Source organism: Homo sapiens, chromosome 1 (genome assembly GCF_000001405.40).
Source record: "Homo sapiens chromosome 1, GRCh38.p14 Primary Assembly".
NCBI lineage: Eukaryota > Metazoa > Chordata > Mammalia > Primates > Hominidae > Homo > Homo sapiens.
The window spans coordinates 199,869,966-199,880,425 of record NC_000001.11 but is presented as its reverse complement, the minus strand read 5'-3'; the positions used below and the strand labels follow the sequence as shown (position 1 = coordinate 199,880,425).

The 10,460-nt window shown below is 40.3% G+C and overlaps 1 pseudogene; it reads right to left on the bottom strand.

Annotated features, from left to right (window-relative positions):
• Nucleotides 1-2,021: 2,021 nt before the first annotated feature.
• Nucleotides 2,022-3,448, bottom strand: LOC107985114 (cytochrome c oxidase subunit NDUFA4-like; annotated as a pseudogene).
• Between the last annotated feature and the right edge of the window lie 7,012 nt (nucleotides 3,449-10,460).

Sequence of the window (10,460 nt, the reverse complement as noted above, 5' to 3'; positions counted from 1 at the left end):
ATAGAGTTCATCCTGAAGAGAATGGAGCTTGCATTGGGAAGTAATAAGGTTAGTATAGTGGGTTGTGGTTAGATAAAAAGGGCCTTGAAAATTCCTAAGGATTTGATTCTGTGGAAAATGGGTTTTGGAAGAGCAAGTGACAGAATAGTTTAAGAAACTGAATCCAGGCTGGGCACGTTGGCCCACACCTGTAATCCCAGTGCTTTGGGAGGCCGAGGCAGGTGGATCACCTGAGGTCAGGAACTGGAGACCAGCCTGGCCAACATGGTGAAACCCCATTTCTACTAAAAATACAAAAATTAGCTGGGCATGGTGGTGCATGCCTGTAATCTCAGCTGCTCAGGAGACTGAGGCAGGAGAATTGCTTGAACCTGGGAGGCAGAGGTTGCAGTGAGCCAAGGTCACACCACTGGACTCCAACCTGGGGGACAGAGTGATACTCTGTTTCAAAAAAAAGAAAAAAAAAAAAAAAGAAAATTAGTCTGGTGTTAACGTGCAGTACAATACAGTGGTGAACGGTCTGGGTGCTGAATGAATTAGGCACACTGCCTTGGCTATTTATTTGCTGTGTAAACTTGGCGAGTAATTTATTCATTCTGGTCCTTATTTCTCTCATTTAAAAAATTGATTTTTTTGATTTTTAAAATGATTTATTTTAATTTTTAAATGGACAAATTGTACATTTTCATGGGCTACATAGTGATGTTTCAATAAATATAGTGTATAGTGATCAGATCAGGATAATTGGCATATCCATCATCTCAAACATTTACCATTTCTTTGTACTGGGGACATTTGATATCCTCTTTCTAGGTATTTGAAACTATATAATATATTATTGTTAACTGTAGTCATCCTACAGTGGAATAGAACACTAGAACTTATTCCTCCTATCTAGCTGTAATTTTGCATCCTTTAACAAATCCTTACTTATCCCTCCCTATTCATCCTTTTTCCATCCGTTTGCCAGCCTGTGGTAACCTCAGTCCTACTTATTACTTCTATGAGATCAACTTTTTTAGCTTCTACATGTGAGTGAGAACATGTGATGTGTGACTTTCTGTTTCTGGCTCATTTCACATGGCAGGATTTCCTCCAGTTCCATCTATGTTGCCACGAATGACAGGATTTCATTCTTTTTTATGGCTGAATAGTATTCCATTGTGCATATATCCCACATTTACTTTATTTGTTCATCTGTTGTTGGACACCTAGGTTGATTCAATAATTTGGCTATTGTGAATATGGCTGAAATAAACATGGGAGCGCAGACTTCTCTTTGATATAATGATTTCCTTTCCTTTCGATAAATGCCCAACTGGGGGATTGCTGGATCATACAGTAATTCTGTTTGTAGTTTTTTGAGGAAGCTCCATACCGTTCTCCACAGTGGGTGTGCTCATTTACATTTTCACCAACAGTGTGTGACAGTTCCCTTTTCTCTACTTCCTCACCATCATTTGTCATTTTTTGTCTTTTTGACAATAGCCGTCCTAACTGGGGTGAGAAAAAAAATTTTATTTTTAATTGTGATTAAAAAACACTGCTCCTTTATTTTTGAAATGGAGGTATTAAATAATAACACCACCTATCTCTAGAGCTATTGTGAGGAGTGAATGAGGTGAATTATGTAAAACACTTGTTACTTACAGAAATGCCTGGTGCATAGTAATCCTTCAAGGTACACATAGCAAAAAATTTTATCTGAAAGGGAAGAGATTAAAGAGAACAAGACAGGGAAGATGATTATAAATTGGTTGAGTTGGTCAACTAGTGCTTTCCTTATAAATAGCTCCATGGTTACTTTTGTCATATTGTATTATTTATATGTCTGATTTGAACTCATTGAAGGCAAGAAGTAACTCCAATTATAGACTGGTGTAGGATATATAACTAGTAGACGGGTTCAGGACATGTTATGTACATACACTAAATGCTTGTTTAATCCATATTGAGATATGGACTCAGGTGATCAGAGTCCACAGAAAGGGATGAATAAAATAGACCTGATGGGGGAAGAATTAATTATCCTTAAACAATCGAAGCTGAGAGGGGAGAGGCAAAAAGAACAGCAGAGATGGTTCCAGGGTTTTGACTTGAGTAACATAAAATGATTACATTTTTACAGAAGAAGGGAAGTCAGCAAATAATGAGTTTTGGAGATAAAATAGTGAGTTTGATTTTATTGCAGTTACTTCAAAGTGAGTCAGTCATTAATTTATTTATTCAACAAATATGATTGAGTTTTTACCATGTGTGATCAGGTACTTTGTCCACATTATCTTTATAACATAAGATAGTGTGTGCAGGTCAGGAGTAGTAGCTCACACCTGTAATCCCAGCACTTTGGGAGGTGGAGGCAGGAGGATCACCTGAGGTCACGAGTTCAAGACCAGCCTGGCCAACATGATGAAACCCCGTCTCTATTAAAAATACAAAAAAATTAGCCGGGCATGGTGGCATGCACCGGTAATCCCAGCTACTTGGAAGGCTAAGGCAGGACGCTCACTTGAACCTGAGAGGCGAAGGTTGCAGTGAGCCAAGATTGTGCCATTGCACTCTAGCCTGGGTGATAGAGCAAGACTCCATCTCGAAAAGAAAAAATAGTGTATGCCTTTCCTGTTATGCATTTGTCAGTTTCTTCCTCCTTTTTGCTTTCTTTCAGTTTCCTTTTGTTTTAATTGTCAGAAAAATGGGTTTCTTTTTTCCTTTTTTTTTAAGTTTCAGATATTTATTAATCAGTGTGATCTCCAACACATCAACATGATTTCATGCATTTAGAGGAGAAATATTTCCTACATAAGTGGAAAATTTTGTGAGTGGCTTCTGGAAAACCTTCATTCTAAGCAGCTTTATGGTGAAACATTTTATTTAGAAATCTGGACCTCTGGCCAGGCACAGTGGCTCATGCCTTAATCCTAGCACTTTGGGAGGCTGAGGCAGGAGGATCACTTGAGGTTAGGAGTTTGAGACCAGCCTGGCCAACATGGTGAAACGCCATCTCTACTAAAAAATACAAAAATTAGCCAGGTGTGGTGGTGCATGGCTATAGTCCCAGCTACTCTGTAGGCTGAGGCATGAGAATCACTTGAACTGGGAGGTAGAGGTTGCAGTGAGCCAAGATCGCGTCACTGCACTCCAGCCTGGGCGACAGAGCGAGACCCTATCTCAAAAACAAAAAACAAAAACAAAAACAAACAAAAAAAGAAATCTGGACCTTCTTCAGTTTGTGATAATCCACATTCACTGAATAGAGCTTGTATCAATCATTGGGACCCAGTTTGTTCCAGTGTTCTGGGTTATGGTTTCTGTCTCAATTAACACCTGGATTGAACAATGCCAGATGCAAGACATCCAGTGTTGCTCCAGTACCTCCAGCTTCAATAAATTCAAGGAGAGGGATTAACCTCGGGTGCTTCTTTGCCTGACTGAGGATCTGGCAGAGCATGTTTGCAGTAGAGGCCTCCTATTGGAAAGGACAGAACTAGCCTAGCTATTCGGCCCTGGACTAGGGAGTATCTCATCTTTTTCTTATAATTGTTTTCTTGCATTTCTTCTCTCTCTTTGGTTTCAATACTATAGTAGTTCTGCTGTCTGTTAGTATATGAATTGCCTCTAACACATTTGCTGCTATCTCTTTCCCTACCTTGCTCATTTTCCTTCTCGATATTTTCTGGTAACCCGTGAAATCAAGGGTTCTCAAGCCCATGGTGCACCCCCTTCTTAAGAGCTGAGTTTTGAGCAGTGAATGTGAAGGTGGTAATTGCAATTTAGTAGGGTTCTGTGTGTAGAGAGGTTCTACCCAGTTTCTCCTGGATCTTGAACCAAAGAATGATTCCTTTGGAGCATGTTGATCATTTTCAGACTGGCTTCTAACTACCTAGGATAATTTAGGTTATGGTGAGATGAGAGAGGTATGAGTTTAACTGTAACACAATCAGATCAGTTTTAGATAAAGCCAAGAAGACTTAATGAGTTGTGCTTCACAGAAAAATTTCTATGTAGGAGAGCATTTTGTTTTCAGGTGAATATTAACATTGGCCAGCATAAGCCCGGTGTATGGAAAAGAACACTGGATCAGGAATCAGAACATCCAGGCACATTAATTCTGAGAGCTGAATTTATAATCTTTTGTTATTCCCATTCACTGCTGATATGGTTTGGCTCTGTGTCCCTACCCAAACCTCATCTCAAATTGTAATCCTCACGTATAGCGGGAGGGAAGTGATTGGATAATGGGGGTGGTTTCCCCCATGCTGTTCTCATGATAGTGACTTAATTCTCATGAGATCTGATGGTTCTATAAATGATAGTTTTTCTTGGGCTCTCACACGCTGTCTCCTCTGCTGCCTTGTGAAGAAGTTGCCTGCTTCCCCTTTCCCCTTCCAACATGATTGTAAGTTTCCTGAGGTCTTCCAGCCATGCGGAACTGTGAGTCAATTAAACCTCCTTTCTTTATAAATTACCCAGTCTCGGGTATGTCTTTACAGCAGTGTGAGAACGGACTAATACAACTGCTTTTTTTTTTTTTTTTACAGAGCCTTACTCTGTCACCCAGGCTGGAGTGCAGTGGCATGATCATGGCTCACTGCAGCCTTGACCTCTCAGGCTCAAGTGATTCTCCTGCCTCAGTCTTCCTTGTAGTTGGGACTACAGGCACATGCCACCATGCTGAGATAATTTTTGCATTTTTTGTAAAGATGGGGTTTCTCCATGTTGCCCAGGCTGGTATTGAACTCCTAAGCTCAAGTGATCTTCCAGCCTTGGCCTCCCAAAGTGTTGGGATTACAAGCATGAGCCACCACACCTGGCCTCCCATTCAGTGCTTTACCGTGATTTACTTTGAGTAAAACCAAGTAGAATTGAAACTTGAGTAATTTCCAATTGGCGATGGTTGAGTCAGGAGCAGTACTGAGATTTATTTTGCTAAGCAAACACTTTATTTGCAGAAAACACACATTAAATATGTAAATAAGACTAGGAGGCAGGAAGAGATTTTTAAGTTGTTCAACAGAATAAAATATTTTGAGGCACTTAAAAAATTCCACAAAGCATTTCAGAAGCATGATTTATGCATGGATAATTTACGTGCTAATTGTAATTCAAAATCTTCTCACTAAACTAATTCTCTAAAGATCTCTACCAGGTTATTTTTTTTTCCTCTGGATTAGTTTATGTTGTTTGTACCTGAACAGAATAAAAGTGAACTTCAAGAATGTTTATAATTCAGATACTTCACAAATTCCAATTGTTTCTCATCTTGAATTAATGAAGTTTTATATGGGTTATTTCCATCTTATTTCAAAAAGCTCCCAAAACAAGGATTTCTACAGGAAATATGTTGCCCCCCCCAACACATATTTAAGTTTAGACATTCCCAAATTTCTCTGTTAAGAATCCTGCTTTAAAAATTTTGAAGAAATGTTTAAATTCATAAAAACACATAAAATTATTTTTAGTAGGTTGGATCATTTTTCCTACTTCTCACTTCTTCCAGTTATGGATTATATAGCCAAGCCTTTGCTGTGTGACTTTTCAGTCCCTCCTACATTAAGCGGAGGACATGTATTTTCTTCTCTCATTGATTTACTTTGGCCAATGGAGTCCAATATTTTATTCAGACAAAATTTACATATTATAAAATTCACCACTTACAGTGTCCAGTTCAGTGGATTTTAGCATGTTCACAATGTTGTGCATCCGTCACCACTATCTAATTCCAGAGCATTCTCATATTCCCAAAAAGGAACCACGTGCCCATTAGCAGTCACTCGCCATTCCTCCCTTCTCATACACCAACCACGTCTTTACAGATTTGATTAGTCTGAACATTTCATGTAAGTAGCATCATACACTATGTGGTTTTTTTGTGTCTGGCTTCTTTCACTCAGTACAATGTTTTTAAAGTTCGTCCATATTGTAGCATGTATCAGCACTTCATTTCTGTTTTTTCTTTTTTTGGTTTTTTTTTTTGAGACGGAGTTTTGCTCTTGTTGCCCAGACTGGAGTGCAATGGCATGATCTTGGCTCACTGCAACCTCTGCCTCCCAGGTTCAAGCGATTCTCCTGCCTCAGACTTCCAAGTAGCTGGGACTACAGGCATGTGCCACCATGCCTGGCTAATTTTGTGTTTTTAGTAGAGACGGGGTTTCACCATGTTGGCCAGATTGGTCTTGAACTCCTGAACTCAGGTGATCCACCCACCTTGGCCTCTCAAAGTGCTGGGATTACAGGTGTGAGCCACCATGCTGGCCACTTCATTTCTTTTTATGGAAAAATAATATCCTGTTTTATGGACATGCCACCTTTTGTTTATGCATTCATCAGCTGATAGATGTATGGGTTATTTCTACTGTTTGGCTATTATGATAATGCTGCCATGAACGTTTGTGTACAAATTTGTATATAAGTATATGTTTTCATTTCTCTCTTTGGTATATACCTATGAGTAGAATTGGGTCATATGGTAACTCTTTTACATTTTAAGGAACTATGAATCTGTTTTCCAGAGTAGATGAAGTATTTTACATTCCTATTAGCAGTGTAAGAGGGTTCCAATTTCTCCACATCCTTGTCAACACACATTATTGTCTGTCATTTTGATTGTAGCCATCCTAGTGGGTGTTCAGTTGTATCTTATTGTGGCTTTGATTTTCCTTTCCCTAATGGCAAATGGGGAATGATGTTGAACTTGTAATGATTTTTTTTTTTTTTTTTGAGATGGAGTCTCATTCTGTTGCCCAGGCTGGAGTGCAGTGTCTCACCACAGGCTGGAGTCTCGGCTCACTGCAACCTCCACCTCCCAGGTTCAAGCGATTCTTCTGCCTTAGCCACCCAAGTATCTGGGACTACAGGTGTGCGCCACCACACCCGGCTACTTTTTGTATTTTTATTAGAGACGAGATTTTACCATGTTGGCCAGGCTAGTCTCAACCTCCTGGCCTCAAGTGATCTGCCTGCGTTGGCCTCCGAAAGTACTGGGAATATAGGCGTGAGCCACCGTGCCCAGCCCTGTGGCAGAATCTTAATGGCTGTGATGTGAGCAAAGGTTTTAAATCTTCCTCTGATTTGCCCTGGTTCCTTGTGCTTCTGCCATCTACCCTGAGAACATGCTCTGAGCAGATGCTAGTCCAGGGAGCACGAGGAGGCATGTGGAGCTGACCTGAACACAACCCACAGTCTGCAGTCAAGACCAGCCAACCTTCCACACCCTGGAGCAAGAAAAACACATGGTTGTCCTTATATGCCACTGAGAAATGGGGGCTGTAACACAATATTAGCACAAACAGGTGTAAAACATATATATGGTTTAAAAAATATTAAGGAACATTGGCTGGACGTGGTGGCTCACGTTTGGGTAATTCCAGCACTTTGGGAAGCCGAGTTGGATGGATCACCTGAGGTCAGGAACTTGAGACCAGCCTGGCCAACACGGTGAAACCCCCATCTTTACTAAAAATACACAAATTACCTGGGCATAGTGGCACCCACCTGTAATCCCAGCTACTTGGAAGGCTGAGGCAGGAGAATCACTTGAACTCAGGAGAATCACTTAAACTCGGGAAGTGGAGGTTGCTGTGTACTGAGATCACACCACTGCACTCTAGCATAGGTGACAGAGCAAGACTTTGTCTAAAAAAAAGAAAAAATTAAGGAACACTTCTGTAATTGCTATCCAAATGGAGAAAAAGAACAATGCCAGTATCTTAAAAGTCTCCTGTATGCCCCTCCCCAAACACATTCCTCTTTAGTGATCCCTAAATATTATACAGTATTTTCATTTTGTCTTTATGTAAATTGAATCACACTATGTGTAATTTTTTCATTTTTCATCTATTACAGGCTGTTACTAATAATGCTCTTATGAACATTCTTATAGTATGGTATGGGACAGGGCATATAACTATGACTGAAATTGTAAAGGTAAAGGACATATACATTTTCAACATTACTAGGCAATGCCAAATGTTTTTCAAAGTGGTTGCACTAAATCACACCCCCTCCAGCAGTGCAGGGGAGTTCTGTACCTCCCTTGCTGGCCATACTTGGTGGTGGTAGAAATTTAAATTTATGTTACTCTTGGTGGGTGTGTTATAGAATATTATTGTGGGTTATTTTGCATTTCTGTCATTATTCATGATGTAAGTATCTTTTTTTTTTTTTAAGATGGAGTTTCCCTCTTGTTGCCCAGGCTGGAGTACAATGGTGCGATCTCGGCTCACCACAACCTCTGCCTCCCACTTTCAAGCCATTCTCCTGCTTCAGCCTCTGTAGTAGCTGGGATTATAGGCATGAGCCACAACACCTGGCTAATTTTGTATTTTTAGTAGAGACGAGGTTTCTCCATGTTGGTCAGGCTGGTCTTGAACTCCCGACCTCAGGTGATCCTCCCACCTTGGCCTCCCAAAGTGCTGGGATTACAGGTGTGAGCCACTGCACCCATCCTCTTTTAACCTTTCTTTATGGAGCCTATTTTATGTAGTTTAGCTAAATCATTTTGATTCCTTTTGTTTAAAGCCCTTTTACACTTTTGTCCCCTAAAATGGATAATGAAAAACTGTACACTCATTCATTCATTGATTTATTTTACAAGTATTTATGGAGTAGAGATGAACCTAAACCCTCTTATTAAAGGACTTATTTGGAGTGTGAAACACAGACAATAAAAAGTTAAAAATAAACCCCCAAATCCCTCTTCCTCCACACCCCATCCTTCCACTAAAAAAACCCCTATAATTTCAGATAAGTGTTGGGAGACAAATCAGGGAAGGAGTGTAGAGAGTGACTGAACTGGCAGGCAATATTGAATAGCATGGACAGGAGGTGTTATTTGAGTAGAGGCCTGGATGATGTATAGAAGTCAGCCATGTCAAGAATAGGGGAAAGGACATTCTAGGCAGAGGAAGGGCCTGTGCAAATGCCCTGGAGCGGGACCAAGCTTGGTGTCTCTGCGGACTAGCAGGTCCCTGTGTCCAGAGTGTGTGAGGGAACTGGGGAGGAGATAGGCTGGATAAGTAGGAGGGGCTGAATTGTATGCAGTCTGACAGGCCATATGAAGGGGATTTGACGGTGTGAGAGGTTGTCCTGACCTGATTTCAAAGTGTGCTTGGTCTAAACCAAATAATATTTATTCTTATCCTTGATGTCTCTGTTTTCTCCTTTCCACTTTCTCTTTAACTTAGAGAACTTGTCTCTATATTAAAAATAAAAAAAGATGAACGTTATTAATAACACATGCCTAATGAAAGAATCTGAGTGCATATTCCTAGAATACACATATAAAATTTAAAACACTTAAAAATACTCAGATACATCAAAATAAATAAATAAATAAAATGATTGGTGAGATTCAGCCAGTGGTGTGTTGAAACTGGCTTGTTCTGGCCTTGGAGACGGAACTGTGTACATCTCTTCCCAATTCCGCCTCCAGTGGCTTCATGCTGGTAGCTTGAAATTGATCATAGTGGGAGTTTATACCACAGTAATTGGCAAACATTGCAAATAAGGGGTTTATTTCCTCTCCTCCACCACACTCACCCAGAAAGCCAGTTAAGCAGTATTAAAAAACAAAACAACAACAACAAAAATTCCCTGTATCTTTACTTGCATTAGGCACAGTGGGGGAGCATTAGGCCAGTTTCTCATTTTAGAACAACTAGCATGCATAAACATTTGACAGCAGCTAGAAAAAAATGAGTGTCTTCCACTTTTCTCATGTGTATCGGGGTGTTCAACATTAAACCTTCACTGAGGATTTTCTTAGCTGAACATAACACTGGGCAGTCTAGTTTATAATAATTACATTATTTATACACTGTAACAAAAAGTCAGGGGGACTTGGTCCATTTTATGATACTAGAATGATAGAGCCAGAAGGGGAATCCAGCTTCATACTTTTTCAGATGAAGAAAGTGAGACACCCAGGCGTTACATTACATGCTCAGGTAATTTGGTTAACCAGTGGCTCAACTGAGAGATGAATCCAGGTTGTCTGACTCCCAGGACAGTGTACATGTGTTTCGATTTAACCCACTCCTTTCTGTTTGTTCTCTTTGTGTAATTAGCATTCCTTTTCAGCTCTAACGTTTCATATAATGATATTTAATAAATAGGTGATCATGATGATAAAGCTAATTTGAAAATTAGCTAGGCCTGGCATGGTTGCTTAGCTCTTTAATATCAGCACTTTAGGAGGCTGAGGTGGGAGGATCGCTTGAGGCCAGGAGTTTGAGACCCGCCTGGATGAAATAGCAAGACCCTATCTCTACAAAAAATCATAAAAAATTAGTGGGGTGCAGTGGCTTGCACCTATAATCCAAGCTACTTGGGAGGCTGAAGTGGGAGAATTCCTGAACCCAGGAGCTTGAGGCTGTGGTAATCTATGATTGCATTACTGCACCCCAGCCTGGGTGATAGAGGGAGACCCTGTCTCTTAAAGAAAAAAATAGCTGGAAAGCAAG